This window comes from Homo sapiens, chromosome 2 (genome assembly GCF_000001405.40).
Source record: "Homo sapiens chromosome 2, GRCh38.p14 Primary Assembly".
In the NCBI taxonomy this organism is placed as follows: domain Eukaryota; kingdom Metazoa; phylum Chordata; class Mammalia; order Primates; family Hominidae; genus Homo; species Homo sapiens.
In genome coordinates, this window is record NC_000002.12 from 30,225,045 (window position 1) to 30,242,088 (window position 17,044).

Below are 17,044 nucleotides of genomic sequence, written 5' to 3' on the forward strand. Positions count from 1 at the left end.
ACGTCTCCTAAACCGATTCTTTGGAAATGCCAGCACCTGTCTGGCACACAGTGGGTGCTAATGCCTGTTAGAATTGTTGTTGAGAGGGCAGGAGGGTGTAACATGGACCCAGCTATCTGATCCTGAGGCTGGGCGCCATGTGGGTGTGAAGTACACCAGGGGCTCCAACCAGCAAGTGCTAGCTCAGGTTACAGTTAGGGAGCTGGCAGAGTGTTCAGGAGGAGCTGCTGTCTGGTGCATAACACGCAGCTCGCTCCTCCAAGGAAGAGCAACAACACAGCTGCCCCTGGAGGAAGCTAGCAGACATCCTGTGTACTTGAAAAGAAAACTGAAAGTGCTTTTCTTCACAAGAAACTGTTGTGTTTCCCTCTTTTTCATAAATCCTCCTCCCTCCCCTGCCGCCCCAGGTATGATGGAGTTTCCCTGGTCCAGAGTTGTGGGTAAAATAGTGGGAGACGTGGACAGAGTGGTATGAAGGGAGTTTATGCTGGGCTGTGGTCCGTGCTGTTTGTCTAATTCAGGGAAGGTATCAGGCTACCCCAAGGAGGACTCTGCTATACGATCTGCATCCTGGTGATAGTAACCTCTCTTTTCTGGCTGTTGAAGTGCATTCCTGTGCGGATGTGGAAAGAGAGAAAGCAAGATACAGCCAGGGCTAGGACAGGAATGTGAGTATTTCCTTAATTGGACATGAGAGCCTTGAACTGATTCCAGTTGGAGTGTTTTCTTTTAGGGCCTGGACCCTAAAGATTTCATACAGTTTTCTTTGTCAGAAAAATCCCTTTGGTTCAAAGGCCCCTCGATAGAAATAAAGAAAAAGCCAGGGCTGAATTTCTTTGATATGTGGGAAGGCAAGAGTTTATGAGCTGCCAGATCTCAGGCTTCTTTTGGGGGCAATGAGAGGATTCTGGACTGAAAGATGAAGGCGCCTCCTGCGCTGCCACATGGGAAGAGGGACCACTGGCTTTAGGGTGGGCTGCAGAGCCCCAGTGGTATGGTAAGGACGTAAAGCACTTTTCTCTTGACCCTTCATAGAAGCAACTTATCTCAGCCTTACTAGACCCTGAGGCCTAAAAGAGAGACTTCTATTGCCTGCTTTTATTGCTTTCTATGTCTGAGACCCAGAGAGGTCAACCCACTTGCCTGAGAACTTACAGCAAAGTAAGTCAAAGGCTGGAGGATTTTGTCTGGTGGGTTCGGGTTGCTTTGTGTTGTTGACTGCTAATTCACTGATGACCAAGATAGGAGGTTCACATTCTCGGGCCTCATTCATTCTCTGCGTGGCCAGTACCCAGCTGGACACTTCCTGGGAGGCACCAAAGACAGAGGAACTCATGGCGGCGAGAGAAGATGCTTGGACTCTGTGACTGCAAGAGTGGCCACCAGGCAGAGCGTCGCTACTTGCCTCTAATGTCTGCTCCCTAAAAGCTAGACATGTCAGTCAAGGGACTCCAGGAGGAAAATGGGGCAGTTTGTGATGGCAATAAGTAAAAAACTGAAGCAGATGAAATCAGCTCTGCTAAACCCCCTCTTTTTCTCAAATACCTTAAAAACAAGCCCTACGTCTGCTCAGTGCTTTCCAATTTACCAAGTGTTTTCATAACATTATCTCATTTCATTCTCACTTCAACCCACACACATTCTTGCCTTTTAGATTTCTTATGTACGCAAATGAGTTTCACCGAAAAATTGGCTAGAAACTTCCCTTCTCCTACTCACTGTCTTTTTTTAACCCCAAGCCTTTGACTATCTTTAAGAAGCTCCCAGATTCCCAGGGTGAGAAAATTGTTTATCCTGCCAGCCCTGCCCTCCTGGATGGATCCCAGTGGTCTTTGCTATTGGAACCAGAGGTTTTGTATTCAGTTCATAGTGTAGCTGTGAAAACAAACAAAACCACAGAGGCATGGTAAGTGTGGTATGGTGGGGAAAACATCAGCTCTGGAAACAGCAAGCCTCAGAGTCACATTTTGGGTTTTTTTTTTTTTTTTTTAGATGGAATCTCACTCTGTCCCCCAGGCTGGAATGTAGTGGCGCGATCTCGGCTCACTGCAACCTCCGTCTCCTGGGTTCAAGCGATTCTTCTGCCTCTCAGCCTCCCAAGTAGTTGGGGTTACAGACACCCACTACAACGCCTGGCTAATTTCTGTATTTTTAGTAGAGGTGGCGTTTTACCATGTTGGCCAGGCTGGTCTCGAACTCCTGACCTCAAGTGATCTGCCCACCTAGGCCTCCCAAACTGCTGGGATTATAGGCATGAGCCACCGCACCCTGCCCAGAGTCACATTTTGGTTCAGCCATTTGAGAGCCACGTGGCCACGGCCAAGGTAGTTAACTTATCAGAGCTTCTGTTTCTTTGTCTATGAAGTGGGGGCAATCTGCCTCTGTCTAAGATTGTTGTCAGGCATAAGTGTAGTAAGAAATACCAGGGTATCTCAGCAAGTGTGGCCCCTTCCCTTCTTCTATTTTCCTCCCCAGGGTCAAATAGCTACTTTGTAAGGTCCCTTATTAGTAACCAAAATACCAGCTTCACCATCATTAGGCAAAATAAATGCAATACTGTCTTTTTGCAAGCCAGAGGGAGATAAGAAGTGGGAATGTGTTGCTTAATGATCTTTTTCTTTGAGACAGGGTCTTGCTCTGTTGCCCAGGCTGGAGTGCAGTGACGTGATCATGGCTCACTACAACCTCTGCCTCCGGGGGCTCAAGCGATCCTCCCACCTCAGCCTCCTGAGAAGCTGGGACTACAAGTGTGCGCTGCCATGCCCGGCTAATTTTTTAGTTTTTGTAGAGTCAGGGTTGCACCGTGTTGCCCAGGCTGGTCTCAAACTCCTGAGCTCAAGCAATCCTTCTGCCTCAGCCCCCTGAAGTGCTGAGATTATAGGTATGACCCACTGCACCCGGCTGCTAAATGAATTTATATGGAGACTTTTTTTTTAACTAGATGAATGAACTCGCTACCTGTCCTGCATACACAGCATCCTTGCAGCTGAGATAACTCTAATAATATCTTAAGCTCATTACCTTTATTTTTTTTTTAATTTGTATTTTAGGTAGGTAAGAGAAGGTGCTGGCAAAATGGATGTATGTAATGTCAGAAAGCAAGGCAATTCTGATTACACCTGGATTCTATTGAAGCAGAATTGCAATTCAACTCTTTAGTCTCCAAAGACAAAGACGGGAGAAGGGAGGGAGTGCAGAGGCTCTGACTGGGTAATTAGTTCACTGATCTGCATCTAGTAGATGTTCAATAAATGTTGGTGATGGACTGTGGTGGTTTACAGAGTCCAGACGTTGTGTTTGACCTTTGCTGCTGACTTCTTGGCAAATGCAGTGCAAGACGCAGTGTTAAAGTGGAAAGAACATCTGACCAGCAGTCTGAAGACCTGCGTTAGGTTCCATCTATACCACTTAATAGCCTGGTGACCTTGGACATGCCATTTAATCTCTTAGGTGTCTTCTCACCTGTAAAACGAGGAGACTGGGACAAGGTGATTTGGAAGGTCTCGTTCAGCTCTAAGGTTCTGGGGCTCTAAGTAACTTCATTCGCTTGTGTTTCTGTTTCTTCATTTATTCAAAGGCAGTAGGGACAGAAACCTATCTCATAGGATATTGGGAAGAAATGGTCAGTGTGCATGTTGAAATACTCTGTATCTTTAGAGATATGAAGGAAAGGCAGTCAGCCAGAGCTATGTTAACAGAAGGGGAAGCTGAGTATGCCTACAACCTCTGAGTTCCAGGCCCAGCTCAACCACTTTCCGGCTGTGTGATCTTTGGCAAGCCTCCTAATTTATTTCGGCCTCAGTTTACATATCTGTGAACTGAGGACCATAAGTTGTGCTATGTTAACCTTATCACATTCTTTTGAAAGCCAAGACAATGAAATGCTTCAAAAAAAAAAAAAAAACCTGCAAGGCATCATATAGACTAGTATAACTGAGAAATGGCATGCTAGTTATGGTTGCATCAAAGCTTAGCCCCACGCCTCCCATATTTTATTTTATTTATTTTATTTTATTTTATTTTATTTTTTTGAGACGGAGTCACACTTTTGTTGCCCAGGCTGGAGTGCACAATTTCGGCCTACTGCAACCTCTGCCTCCCAGGTTCAAGCGATTCTCCTGCCTCAGACTCCCAAGTAGCTGGGATTATAGGCACCCACTACCACGCCCAGCTAATTTTTGTATTTTTAGTAGAGACGGGGTTTCACCGTGTTGGTCAGATTGGTCTTGAGCTCCTGACCTCAGGTGATCCACCTGCCTCAGCCTCCCAAAGTGCTGGGATTACCAGGCGTGAGCCACCGCACCCAGCCACCTCCCATATTTTCAAATGAATGGATGTGTCACTGTGATTCCAGAGGAGAAACAGAAAATGCAGACTGGGGATCACAACCCCAGGCTTATTTCTATTTTAACTTACTGACAGAGATGAACTTTAGCTAAAATGGGCATTAATAAGTTTCCCAAAGAGTAGGCCTCAGGTAATTCCCTCAATGCACTCCAATGTAGAGGATTTTTCCAGAGGCCAGATAACAGCTGGTGGAGGCCTTACTCCCCACCCTCTTCTCCAAAATGAGGCCATTTTGACATTTAGATATTTGGGAAAATGGGGAGGGAGGGAAATAGCTTTCTGAGTTTTGAAAGCTTCACATGGCAATAATCACAAACACATAAAGTGTGTCTGTTATGTGTAAAAGTGGCGCAACAGTCTTTGATCCCAGCCTCACCAGAGATTGCTACTGGGAAGAAGTGGCAGAAGGCTTCATCCTGCCCACCCGGGGTCTAGCCCAGACATTTTCCTCTGAGTGCCTGGAAGTCTCAGCCTGGAAACTAGCTCTCCAAGCATTGGCGTCTCCTGTGGCTGCCTAGATGACAATGTGCCACACCTGGCTAGTGACACTGAGAAGCTTCCCCACCCTCTGTGCAGGACATCAACAATAACCCCATCCCTGCAGCATCTCCCGTTTAGCCCCTCCATCAGGCAACACCCCCAGAGGAAGAGAATGCGTTTAGCTTGGGAGGTGGGGGAATTTCTCTGGTTGGAGGGGGCAGCCAGGGGCTTGTCATGAAGCTGTGTTTTCATAGGAAGCACACTATTTTAACTCAGGTTGTACATATAAGCATATAAGTGATTGAAAATAGCCCAGTTATTTTTAAATAAATTATTCTCATCAATTCTTATAATTTTTGTTTGGGCTGGTTTTGCGGGGACTGATGAAAATTATGAGGGTCTTCTCTCACGGCTTCCTTCAGGGTCCTACCCCTGTCGAACCTTCGCCATTAATTCTGTCATCCTTTTGCCTGAGATAAGCTATGCGTTTCCACTTTCAAGTACATATATACGGATTCAATACACTCACTGCCTTTCTTTTAAAAAGCTGATTCACTTCAAAGCCAATTTAATTTTGCTTAGTTTTTGATCTCCCCGCGCCCCCTTTCCTCAGCCCCTATACACAGGTAGGTGAGGGTTCTAAAGCCATTTTACAGGCGTGATTGAAGCGGAGGCCACAGAGCGGCAGCGCTGGGTCCCGAGTGAGACTCCCATCATGTGGCTCTGGGGGGCTGCGCAGCTTTGACTGCCTGGACAGACGCCCAGAGCTGCAATTCCTGGGCAGTGTGGGAGGCGTTCGGCTAAAGCTCTTTGTTTCTGCTGTCATGAGCGACTCCTCGGAGAAGACGTGGGAGTCAAGGATGGGGGGCGGCGTGCACACCGCCCGCCCACACCTTCTGCCCCCGCTGCAGACCGGGCGTATGTGTGTCTCCAATGGAAAAATCCTACCCAGGACGACACCACATCCTTGCTCCCACAAATAAAACCTTCCACGGAACTCAGGGCTGCAGACCAGCCCTTCGCAAGCCAACGCGCCCCGTGGGCACTCGGTCCCCCGGCTCCGCGTCTCTGCCACCTTCCCACCGCTTCTTCTTTAACCATGCTCTTGTTTCCCCTCGCTGATCGCAAGGCTGCGGGCGAGGATTCCAGAGAGAGGCCTAGTATGGGGAACAAACGCTTCAGAGGGGTCCGAGGTGGGCTGGGGACAGCCAGTGGATGGGAAGGAGGGCGCTGGCGCCGGGCGGCTGGGGTGGAGGAGTGGCGGGTGCCCTACCCCGGCGCAGAGCAGCCGCCGAGCTGTCATGTCCCGAGCGGCCCCCGCGCCCTCCTTGCGCCCACCTCCGCCGCGCTGGAGTTCGGGGTGTGCGTGGAGGGGGCTGTGAGCGGGAAGCGGCGCGGACGCGGAGTCCGGGCCGGTGCGAGTGAGCGCGTGTGCGCGTGGGAGAGCGGCGGGAGGGGGCCGGGCTCGCAGCCGCAGCGAACCACGGCCCCGGGAGCAGAGCCGAGCGCGCCCCCGAGCCGCCGCCCGCCGGAGCTGCGAGCGCTGAAGCCATTCATGATTTTGGTGACGTTATTCCAGGAGTGGGCGAGGGAGGGCGGGGCCTCTCGGGGCCAAGCCCCGCCCCCGCCCCTATAAATACGGCTTCCCGGGCTCTTTGTGGGGCTGAGTGCTCAGTGGAGAGCGGGGAGTTGTGTCCACCTTGCCGACGTCGCTAGCCGTGGGGCTGTCCTGGGAAGGCGGACGGCGAGCGCCCGGTGTCCGCACTCGGCCGCCTGCCGTGCCCGTCTGCGCCCGTGTCATCCTCACTCGGGACGCAGGGACCGTTTTTAAATCACAGGGGCGTGTGTCAGCCTGCCCTAGGACTTCATGTCTATATATTTCCCCATTCACTGGTGAGTACCCTGCGCCTGCGGCGGGCGTCTGTCTCGCGGCGGTGGCTGCGGGCCCGGGCGCCTGCTTCGTGCCGGCTCCGGGTGCGAGGGCAGCCGGCGGCGCGGGCGCTCAGCGCTAACCCGCCGCCCGAGCCCGTGCAGGAGTCAACGTCAAGGTTGCAAAGGTGGGGGTGGGGGGAGGGGGTGCTGAGAACATCCAGACAAAGGACGTGAACTCGGAGCCCTCACCTAAGTGACGGCCGGAGGGTTTGTATTGGTTGGCGGGGGAGCCAGGGGTCACGTGTGAATCCCCCCCAATGAAACCACCCTATGCGGAGAGCTGCAGGAGGCGCGCGCCCCACTTGGCGCAGGGGGGCTCCTGCTCTTCCCGGGCCCCTCCTCTTTTTCTTTTTGTTTGCATGCAAGTCTCAACGTCGAGGCCGGCAGCAGCGGGGCTGAGCTGGTGCGGCCGCAGGGTTTGCAGAGCTCCGGGGGGGTGGGGGGCGGGAAACGCTCTCCCCACACGTAACCCCACTAAAGCCACAAGCAGCAGGGCACGCGCTGCAGCCTCTCAACCCCTGCCCTCTCCACCGCCCCTAAAAACCGACGCACATTGGTGGGGGCCGGGACTGGGAGGAGCCGCCTTCGCCGTGCTGAAGGGGAAGGAGCCCGGGCCGGGCGCGGGGCGTCGGAGGTTTGCCCCGGACTGGGGATCGGAGCCGGGAGGGATGCAGAGAGAGGCAGGCCCCTGACTGCTGGGACTTCCTTGCTGGCAGTTTCTTCCTTCCTGCTCTGGGTTAGAGGAGAAGCGGCCGGGGGCGAGCGCCGGCAGCCCCGGAGCGCGCTCTCAGGTGCGGACGTGGGGAGCTCGGCCCCGAGTCTCCGGCAGGCGCTGAGCGAAGGGAAAACCGGCGCAAGCCGCGGCGGGGTCCGGCCTGGCCCAAGAAGCGGAAAGTTCATGCTTCTCGCTTCAACTTTTCGGGCCGGCGCCACAGCCCCGAGCGAGGAAGAGCCGCCCCTACGTCAGACTCTTCACCCTGCGTGCGCTCTTCTGGCTCCTTTCTTTGGAGGTCGCCAGCAGCCTTTCCAAGACCCGGGAGGAAACTGCCTTTGCAGGGCCCAGCTCCCGAACCTAAACTTGCCGCAAAGCCCCGCATCTTCTGTTAGTCTCCCTGCCCCCATCCGTCCCAGCCTGGCAGTGTTTAGAGAGGGGACTGAACTTCCCTCTCTCAACAGTTCAAGTTCCCCCACCCCGAGGCTTGTGTACCCTTCTTGTGGGTGCCCCTCCCTTGCCTCTCCCGTGGTGTGTGAGCAGCTAGGTGCCTTATTATAGGTGAAGCTTTGAAGGCTGTTGGAGGCTTTGTGCCTTTGGCTGCTCAAAATTTGCCAAGGTGGGTGTTTGGACCCATTAAGAATATTATGAGAAATTAAGGTTTAAGTTTATTTCATCGATTAGCACTTTGCAGCTTGCAATGCTTTTATGCAGACATTAGCCCTTAACCTAACTGTGAGGTATGCACTATTAGCATCAGAGTAACAGACAAACAGGACACTTGTGGCTCAGAGAAGTTACAGGACCTGTTCAAGATCACACAGTTCTTGAGGGGCAGAGCCTAGAACCTATTGCTTCTGTTTCTAAATCCAGTGTCATTTCTTATCTATGTAGTAACCATACAATTGAAGAGGCATCTGGTACCCCTGTTTCCTTAGATACTGTCCCTCAAAAGACTCCCCCATATTTTTGTTTTAAACCATGTGCACAGGCACGATGGTGGAAAGCATTGGGTGCTGTGTAGCAGGTACCTGTATTTGGTGCTTATGTTCAGCATTATGTGCACGGGATCCTGTATGTGCCCAGAGTTTGTGCAAGGATAAGGGAATATTCGTATCCTGCTTAGAGAGTACAAGGCACTTTCACATGTCAGCCATTGGTGGGCCAGCTTGGCCCCTCTGGAAATTTCCTTTGCAGTCAGAGTCGGGTATCCTTAAGGCTTTTAATCCAGGGGATGTTTTTCAAGCTGTGAGCATGCAGCTGCTGTGTCTGGGGCTAGAGAAAGGGGATGGATGGCAGATGTGAAACTTGCAGAAAAGCTGACCCCTTGGGGCTTTAAGTGGAACATTTTGCCAAAAGGAGCACCAGAGAGACAAATTTAGGAAAGCTGTATGATTGGACTTTGTTTCCCTCCAGTTGACCTGTTATTGTTATTGTGTATTAATAATATATAGAGTTCCCCTTTGGAAAGTTCATGTGAGGATTATTTTTATTCTTAGTTGGAGAAGTGAAGGGAGATGTGGTTGAATTGGTTTTAATATAGACAGATGGACTCAGCTACCTACTGTTTTGGTTTCTCTGGTTCTGTCATTTAAAGAAACATTCAGGGTCCCTCTGTGCCAGTGGGGACTAGAGTACAGGAGAGGAGGGAAGAGGTTTGCCAGAGAGGTCTGCAGACAATGGGCTTTGTCTGTTGCGGCTGAGCCCTGGGGCTGTGGGCTTGCAAGGCGCTTCCTCAGGGTGTGAGCTTGTTTTGCTGCAAGTTCTGTTTTGAACACCTCTCTTCCTGTCTCCAGACAGTCCCCTGATCCCACAGCAGTGAATGCATGAAGAGTTAGGAATGTGAAAGCGCGTGTGTTTGTTGACTTTTGGTCTGGGTTTCTTGGCAGCCCCGACTATCTGAGATCGGCCAAGATGACTGAGGTGATGATGAACACCCAGCCCATGGAGGAGATCGGCCTCAGCCCCCGCAAGGATGGCCTTTCCTACCAGGTGAGTAAGTCCTGGCTCCCCTCTGACTCTCTAGAGCCTAGTGGTTTTTGCTGGGGGTGAGGACAGACTTGGTTTTGCATCCCAGTGCCACATATAAGAGCTGTGGGACTGTGGCAGAGTCCCCTAATGCCAGTAAGCCTCAGTTTCTTCATCTGTAAAATGGGGCAACAATCGTCCTTATCTCCTAAGATTGTGGTAAAGATTCACCATGACAAGTGGATGTGTAGGAAGCATTCCTAGTGTCTGGGACAGATAAGGGCTCAGCAAGCATTAGCCATTGTGATGAATTGACCCTACTGGCTCTGTGAACTTTGCCATTCACCGCAGCAAAGGAGGAAATGATTTGTTTAGTCGATTGAGACCAGAACTTTCCTTCCCAGCCATGCCTGGGGTAGTAGAAGCATTGCTGTCGGGGGCTTCTGCAGAAGGGTGGTCTGGTGGGGATAGCCATGTCCAATGCTGCTTTCTTCCTTGGGTTGATTATTGACCTGTTGATTCAGAGTTAACATTCAAACCACTTAGAGAGGAAGATATTTTCCCCAAAGGGAGGCTAGCTCAGGGATGCTATTGCTGGGATCTTGCTTGGAGATCATCCTGTCTGGTGGATCCAAAATGCACAAGGATCACAAAAAGGGACCAGAGTGAGCCCTCTGGACTCTTACCCCAGCCCTCTCTCTGGCTTGCCCTGCTGCCTCTCTACTGCCCCTGGGTTGGGGGTGGGAGCAATGGAGCACCTGCAGTTCCCTCTGGGCTGTGAGCTGGTTTGGGGTTTTGGAGGAGAGTTCCTATGTTGTTAAACTGGGGGGAGGGAGGAGTCTCTTCTTAAGGAAGACCTTGGAGCTAGGGAAGTTGTGTAGGATGGCCAGCCCAGGGAAGTCGAAAGGGAGTGTGATGGGTCCATGGGTCCGTGCTACAGACATGAAGGTATGCCCACTGCACGCCAAGCACTCTACAGACGCTGCCTTGCTCACATCTTACCACAGCTCCCAGGCGGGGATCCTCACCCTGTTCACAGATGAGGAAATGGCTCAGCCTGAGTCAGTGACTTGGGTCTGTCTAACCCCAGAGCCTTGTTCTTCTGATGTATTGTGTGTCCACACCATGGCTTGGTTCCGCTAGGGTCTAGGTTGACTCTGGCTGGTCATTCCTTAGAACTGTTCCAGGGACATTTATTTTGTAAATTAAAAAAAAAAAAAAATCAAATAGAAAGCCAGGGAGCCAGGGTGGGTGCCATGGAGGGAAAGTAATCAGATAGAACCAAGCTAAAAGTTCAGGCAGGGTCACTTAACTTCAGACATGCTTGGGAGGCTAAGGAGGCCCCTTTGTGTTGTCTATATTGGCAGGCCTGTCTTGAAATAAGTAGCCATTAGCTTGAAGGGGGTGTGTGGAGCAAGGGGGAACTCTCTTTGCTACGTTTGACTTTTCTACCCTCCTCCCCCAGAGTGGGTCTGAGGAAGACAATTGAGGGCCCCTCAACCTGGTGGGAGGGGTAGAAGTTTCCTGGCCCACCAGCCAGGGGGTTTTGGGTAGCAGTTTCCAAGCCCCTGAGTCAGAATGAATCTCTTTGTGGTTACAGGTGAGGTTCTCTTTCGGTTCTGGGTTTTAGATTTCCATCACAGAACCTTTCCAAATGCAGTCATCTGTTCATCTTGTGTGTGCTTTTCATATTTTCCTTTTAAATACATCCCAGGATAAAGGGCCAGGCCCTATAGGGCCGTTTTCTCAATGCTTCGAGTCCTTCAGGCCATTCTGCTGGACCTGAGACTCAGGGCAGGTGGTGAGGGAGGAAGGAGCTGGGGGAGGAAGGCCAACCTGGGGCTGCAAGGGCAGCAGGAAAATAAAATCACCTCTGGGTGCCTGACACATCTCAGCACTGCCTGAGCAAAGGATCCACACATCTTCCCTTGTGGTGCTGGACTGAGGGCCCAGTTCTCAGAGCCCCCTCCCAGGAAATCTGTTTCTGCTACCTTGGTGGGGACCACTCCCCAGTTCCAAAATATCTTACTTGGAACTTCAGAGCACTCTGGTCACAATTTTTCACAGCTTTTCTGATTTCAGAAAGGTCTCTTGGTTGCCTGGTGAAGAGGAAAGGGAGATTGTAGTATTTAACCAAGCAACATTTAGGGGCACTTTCCCTGTGCAACCTGCTGTGCTGGCCTCTGTGCCCAGGGTCCAGGGCCCTTGTAAGAACCCAGCATCTACATAAACATCTGGAACACAGGTGGTGCAGTCAGTCCAGGTGGGGGACATACAGAAGCTACAGTGAGTCCAGGCATCGACAGCAACAATGAAATCCAGCCGACAGAATCAGAGGGAGGGCAGACTGGGGCTGGGCTCTGAAAGAAAATTAGGACTTTGAGAGGGCAGTTCCATCTCTAAGGTAATGTTCTTGCACCTTCAGATACCCCTGGGCTTGCCCCTGTTTATGCCAGGGGCAGGGCTGTGCAGTGAGCTGGTCTGACCATTGCGGTGTGACAGATATTCTCCGGGCCCACTCAAAGCTAGTGCCGTCCAATTAGACACATTCCCACCAGAGCTCTGGGGATTGGCTGGGACTGGCACTTGGCTGGAGCCCCTTCCCTTTGCATGCTCAGGCTCGGCTCAGGCCTGGGGGCAGGGGATCTCGGAGCTCTGTTCTTGGCATTCCTCCTAAGGATAATAATAGTACGTGGCTTTTACTGAGACCTGCTTTTCTAAGGAACTGAGAGTGGGAAGGAGACATCAATCCAGACTTGGCAGATGAAATAGGATCTCAGGCTTGTGATTTGACCTTGAAAGAAAGTCATCAAGTAAATGGCACATTGGACTTTGTCAGTCACTTCACTGCCTTGCAGATCTATCGAGAGTGAAGCTTTCCTGATTTCTCTGTACCAGCTGTGACGTTTCTTTTAATGCCTGTGGCATTTTGTACTTGCCAATGATGCCGCTTCGAGGATACGGGTCCTGTTTTACCTTCTCTTTGCCCAGGTCCTTGAAGGCAAGGGAGGACTTATCTTCATCTTTGTACCCTGCCCCCACCCAAGGTGCCTAAGTGCTAAAAGTGGGTGGTGGTTGTTTCCATGAAGTTGAGTCTCCTGATTCTAAAGCTGGTCACCTTCTCTTCTGCCTTAGCTTCTGGAAAGGGCCTCCTCACGCTCATGCCTACCAAGGTTTCAGATAGATGCCCTTTTAATCCCCTGAAAGATTCAAGGAAGCCCCAGCTACTGGTCCTGGGGCAGTTAGGGCTGTGTTGTGAGCCAGTGCCTTGTTTTGTAGTAACATTCATTTGGAGAGGCAGTTCAGTAAGGGAAATCCACGTGTGCACATTCACTTAACATGAATTGTGACACCCTGTGGGGTGGGTGAGTAAATGGTTGCTAGAAAGTCTGAGTACATTTTGGGCAGGCAGGCTGTGGGTGGCGGCCAGCTCACCAGCTGAGTGGGGAGGGTCTCCAGCAGGATGTTGATGTCCCTGATGGCAGCAGCTCCCTCCCCACTTCCATCCAGCCTGTGGAACAGGAATTTCTGCTGCCCAGTGCCTTCTTCCTTACCCTAATTCAAGGAAGCAAGTCAGCAGCTGCTTCTTTGGCTCCAGGGACTCTAAAAATATGGTGTTAGGGAATGCCTCTGCGACTGGGTCTCCTTCGATGCTGTGCCCGACTTGGCCTGGGCTCTGTCTGGGGAAGGGTCTTGGGAATTTGCCTGTGGGCACCGACACTGCCTCCACCCAACGGCACTGGGACCCTGGCCTTGCTACTCTAACTTCCTCAGCACAGCAGCCGAGGCGTCTACAGTTTCATCACCCCAGCTAAGGTCCAGATACAGATGTGGCTCCTTGGTTTTCATTTAAAACTTCCTTCTAAAGCACCTGGACCAAGGTCTGAACACATCATCCTTCTCCAGGCTCTTTAAATTTCTCTAATCAGCACACGTCCCTTCCTGGCTGCCCCTTGTATTCTTTCTGCTTTTATTCTTGGTCATGTCCCCACCATTTGACATCCATCTGTCAGTCAGGCAAGCGAGGGAGGATGCTCTGGGAGGGAGGAAGCCAGGAGGAGCGATTTCTTCACACACCACAGTGCTTGTGTGCACCACACATTCCCTTTGATAAACAGAGCTGAGAGCTTCCTGCATCTTCCCCTTCATTCCCCAGGTGGGAGGGAGTGATGTCCTAGTGCTTTCTATGGTAGGGAAGAGCAGGCTAGCGGGCTGACTTTTCTTGCCTCAGCCTTAGTATTTGCCTCGTGCAGTTGGAGAGCCTCAGCTATGGCCCTGCATTGAGAGGTGGTCTGAAGGACCATTGTGGGTGGACGACCAGCCTTTCCCGGCACAAGATCTCTTGCCCCTTTGTCTCTCAGGTCCCAAATAGCCACCTTCTTTCTCTCACTCCTCCCCACTCTTTTTTTTTTTTTTTTTTTTTTGAGATGAAGTCTCGCTGTGTCGCCCAGGCTGGAGTGCAGTGGCGCGATCTCTTCTCACTGCAACCTCCACTTCCCGGGTTCAAGCGATTCTCCTGCTTCAGCCTCCCGAGTAGCTGGGACTACAGGAGTGTGCCACCACGCCCAGCTAATTTTTTGTATTTTTAGTAGAGACGGGGTCTCTCCACGTTGGCCCTTCCCACTCCTTGTCAGAAGCAGCAACTCATCTCTCAAAGAACAGGCTCAGTTTGTTTCATCACCGAAGTTAGGCGGTAGCTCGGAAACCCCTTCTCTTTGCTCACATCTCTGCTGAGCCTCTCTTGATGGAGACCTCCTGAGCCTGGCTTCACTCTGCCGGTTCCACCTGGGTGGAATGCGTGTGTGGAAACAGGTGACGGGTTAAGCCCTTAGGAAGGTTTCTGGTCCGTGGCCTCTGTCCCCCACCAGCTCACGAGGCCATTCTGGGCATAACGCATCCACTCTATCCGCCTCCTCCTCATTACCCCTGTCTCATTGCTTACTCCCAGCTGTAGTTCCCCACATGTCCTCAAGAGTTTGGGAGGCGCTGCTGAGCAGCTGCACGCAAGTCCCATGGTCACCAGGAAACATCTTTCACAATGTCAGACTTAAAAGGCCTCAGTAGTCCCTGGAGAGACATAGAGCTAAAAATTCCAGAACATTTGGCAGGAGGCATCCAGCCGCGGACACATGTTCCTGGGATTGCAACAACTTTCTTTTCTCCTATCCCTACTCCCCCCACCCGCCTCTCTCCTTGACAAAAATCACAGGAATGGGATGTAGAACAGGCAGTTAGGGCCACGGGTCTCAAAAGCACAAGTAATGTGTTTCTCTGAGTGGCACTGGGCCCGTGTCTGCACATTCTGCCTCTATGTGAGTCATTGTTCACCTTGTTCAGAGCAAATCTACTCTGTATGAGGATCCAGCACCTTCCCTCCTACACTACCCTGCAGAGGGCTGGAATTATTCCCATGGGGATTTCCTCCTGGGCCCCATAAGCCCCCTGGTCACAACAGTGAGTCTGTAGCCTGGTCAGGGAGAGAACAAGCTTTCTTCACTTTCCCAGCCAACACGTTGCATACTAGGGCCATACATCCCGGCCTCCTCTCAAGGGGCCTGTGTTGGGCCTGACGCCTCTCTCTCCAAGAGGTTATGTGTTCATCTCTCTGCTGAGCCAGGGGCTGTGTCTTAGGCTGCTCTTTGTTTCTAAGACGCTGGGCACAGTGTCCTACAAATAGTTGCTTAATGAGCCTGGATGATGGATTGGCCCTTCCTCTCTCCCCGTCCTGCACTGAGAATCCTTTTATCTTGGCAGTCTCATGAAGCCAATTTTTATAGGATCAGCATTTTCTCTAAGTAGGCCCGGTCTCCCACGTTGGATAGAAAGGATGGTACTGTTAGGGAAAGGGATGAGTTTGGGTGGCGAATGTTGTGACTGTAGCCAAGAGCTATTCCTGGGTGTCTAGTGAATGTCCTGAAATGATCTTGCAGGCCTGAGTCCTGAAGTAGTCCTCAGAGGATATGAAGACAGGCCCTCATTCACACAGGGCGTAGACTTGCTGGGGGCTTCATTCCTTCCCAGTCTAGTAGCTTCTGTGCTGCCTCTGACTGCCTCTCACCTCGCCACCTGCCCTTCCCTTGTCCTCAAGCGCAGCTCAGGAAGATATCGTTATCAGCACATCAAATCCTCTGCTTCCTTCCTGGGCTGAGGGAGGGCCCCTTATTACACAGATCCATCTTGAAGAACAATTTCAATTTGCCCAAAGTTTCTCCAAACTATAGTCAAGCTGGCATTTTAACCTCAAGGAAACTTTGGGAGCCCCCTCAAGCCCCCTCTCCGGTGGACTTAATTGCCTCCCACCGGCAGTAGCTTATTTTAGGTAAACTGTGTAGAAGAGACCCCAAGCGTTTAGCTGAAACTCATACACTTCTTGCCTCTCAGCCAGGAATTTTATTTGAACCAATGGGAAGGAAAATTCTGGATTTCTCACATAAAATGGAATTGGTCTAAGCAAAGAGGGCACTCCTAAATTTTAGTACAGATACAGTTGGTGTCTAAGCCTGACTTTCTCTTGATTTGGTGGTTCCCAAACAGAATTTAAAATATACCTTGAACTCATCTTCCAGCTTTTCTTAGGAGAGCTTAAAGCACTTGTTCAAACTGGATTTAAGAGGTATCCTTGGCTTTCCCAAATTCCTAAACATTTTCACTAGATGTAGCCCTGCATACAAGCCCTAATTTAGTAGGTGGCCTTAAGGTCAGCCACTTATCCCCATGGACGTAGGCAGTGGTGCCAGCGCACATCCACTAACACACACACATTCACACACACAACTGTAAGGGCAGATGGGGGTTAATAAGTGGTTGTTTTAGATTAGTGTTTTAATTATAGGAAGTTTTTCCTTCCCTTTCCCTCTGTTGGCAATTTCATATTTTTATTGATAAAATATGTATTTTATTATTTTTATGCTTACTTTTCCAATTTTAAAAGAAACATATGCTCATTATGGAATTTCTATTTTTATTTTCTTTCTTTCTTTTTTTTTTTTTTTTGAGATGGTATTTTGCTCTTGTTGCCCAGGCTGAAGTGCAATGGTGCGATCTCAGCTCACTGCAACCTCCGCCTCCCAGGTTCAAGGGATTCTCCTGCCTCAGCCTCTTGAGTAGCTGGGACTACAAACACGTGCCACCATGCCGGGCTAATTTTTGTATTTTTATGAGTAGAGACGGGGTCTCACCATGTTGGCCAGGCCGGTCTCAAATTCCTGACCTCAAGTGATCCTCCCCCCTCAGCCTCCCCAAAGTGCCAGGATTATAGGCAGGAGCCACCGCGCCCAGCCTATTTTGTTTCTTAAATTTTTTTGTTTTTCAGTCACCACAATTTCACCATGCATAAATCACAACGGTTAACAATTTAGCATCTTTGCCTTCTTTTCCTGTGCACTTACGTTTTTATGTAGCCAAGATCACACGTTGCATTTTGCTGCTTTCCTTAACAGCGTCTAAGTCATCAGCACTCTATTGTGATGATTTATCTTAAAAATATTCCAAGCGATCATTTTTAGTAACTGTGTAATATTATATCATAAAGTTAAAACATAATTTGTCATTCAATTGTTGAAATTTTTAGGTTACGTATATTTTCTCTTATAAATATGTAAATAT

The 17,044-nt window shown here is 50.6% G+C and overlaps 1 protein-coding gene across 1 annotated transcript in view, besides 10 other annotated features; it reads left to right on the forward strand.

Moving 5' to 3' along the window:
• Positions 398–457: an enhancer, noted in NCBI's record as "active region_15534". NCBI's record gives its function as "activates an Ori minimal core promoter by ATAC-STARR-seq in GM12878 lymphoblastoid cells {active_cell/tissue: GM12878}" and the evidence as "EXISTENCE:reporter gene assay evidence [ECO:0000049][PMID:35858748]".
• Positions 1,099–1,393: a silencer, noted in NCBI's record as "tiled region #4877; K562 Repressive DNase matched - State 7:EnhWF". NCBI's record gives its function as "represses a minimal TATA promoter and a strong SV40 promoter by Sharpr-MPRA in K562 cells {active_cell/tissue: K562}" and the evidence as "EXISTENCE:reporter gene assay evidence [ECO:0000049][PMID:27701403]".
• Positions 5,156–5,671: an enhancer, noted in NCBI's record as "H3K4me1 hESC enhancer chr2:30453066-30453581 (GRCh37/hg19 assembly coordinates)". NCBI's record gives its function as "activates a minimal SCP1, AML or CMV promoter by ChIP-STARR-seq in naive H9 embryonic stem cells {active_cell/tissue: H9 hESC(naive)}" and the evidence as "EXISTENCE:reporter gene assay evidence [ECO:0000049][PMID:30033119]".
• Positions 5,672–6,186: an enhancer, noted in NCBI's record as "H3K4me1 hESC enhancer chr2:30453582-30454096 (GRCh37/hg19 assembly coordinates)". NCBI's record gives its function as "activates a minimal SCP1, AML or CMV promoter by ChIP-STARR-seq in primed H9 embryonic stem cells {active_cell/tissue: H9 hESC(primed)}" and the evidence as "EXISTENCE:reporter gene assay evidence [ECO:0000049][PMID:30033119]".
• Positions 5,672–6,539: a biological region, named in NCBI's record as "H3K4me1 hESC enhancer GRCh37_chr2:30453582-30454096".
• Positions 5,990–6,539: a silencer, noted in NCBI's record as "silent region_11325". NCBI's record gives its function as "represses an Ori minimal core promoter by ATAC-STARR-seq in GM12878 lymphoblastoid cells {active_cell/tissue: GM12878}" and the evidence as "EXISTENCE:reporter gene assay evidence [ECO:0000049][PMID:35858748]".
• LBH (LBH regulator of Wnt signaling pathway) overlaps positions 6,490–17,044 on the forward strand; it is a 28,495-nt gene continuing 17,940 nt past the window's right edge. The window contains exons 1-2 of the mRNA NM_030915.4: positions 6,490–6,720; positions 9,361–9,463. Of these exons, the coding sequence (NP_112177.2) occupies positions 6,695–6,720; positions 9,361–9,463 (129 nt within the window). The 5' untranslated portion in view covers positions 6,490–6,694. The remainder of the gene's footprint in view (positions 6,721–9,360; positions 9,464–17,044) is intronic.
• Positions 6,740–6,829: a silencer, noted in NCBI's record as "silent region_11326". NCBI's record gives its function as "represses an Ori minimal core promoter by ATAC-STARR-seq in GM12878 lymphoblastoid cells {active_cell/tissue: GM12878}" and the evidence as "EXISTENCE:reporter gene assay evidence [ECO:0000049][PMID:35858748]".
• Positions 7,220–7,419: a silencer, noted in NCBI's record as "silent region_11327". NCBI's record gives its function as "represses an Ori minimal core promoter by ATAC-STARR-seq in GM12878 lymphoblastoid cells {active_cell/tissue: GM12878}" and the evidence as "EXISTENCE:reporter gene assay evidence [ECO:0000049][PMID:35858748]".
• Positions 7,430–7,489: a silencer, noted in NCBI's record as "silent region_11328". NCBI's record gives its function as "represses an Ori minimal core promoter by ATAC-STARR-seq in GM12878 lymphoblastoid cells {active_cell/tissue: GM12878}" and the evidence as "EXISTENCE:reporter gene assay evidence [ECO:0000049][PMID:35858748]".
• Positions 11,185–11,392: a silencer, noted in NCBI's record as "fragment chr2:30459095-30459302 (GRCh37/hg19 assembly coordinates)". NCBI's record gives its function as "represses an EF-1alpha promoter that drives an FKBP-Casp9 reporter gene in an ReSE screen in HepG2 liver carcinoma cells {active_cell/tissue: HepG2}" and the evidence as "EXISTENCE:reporter gene assay evidence [ECO:0000049][PMID:32094911]".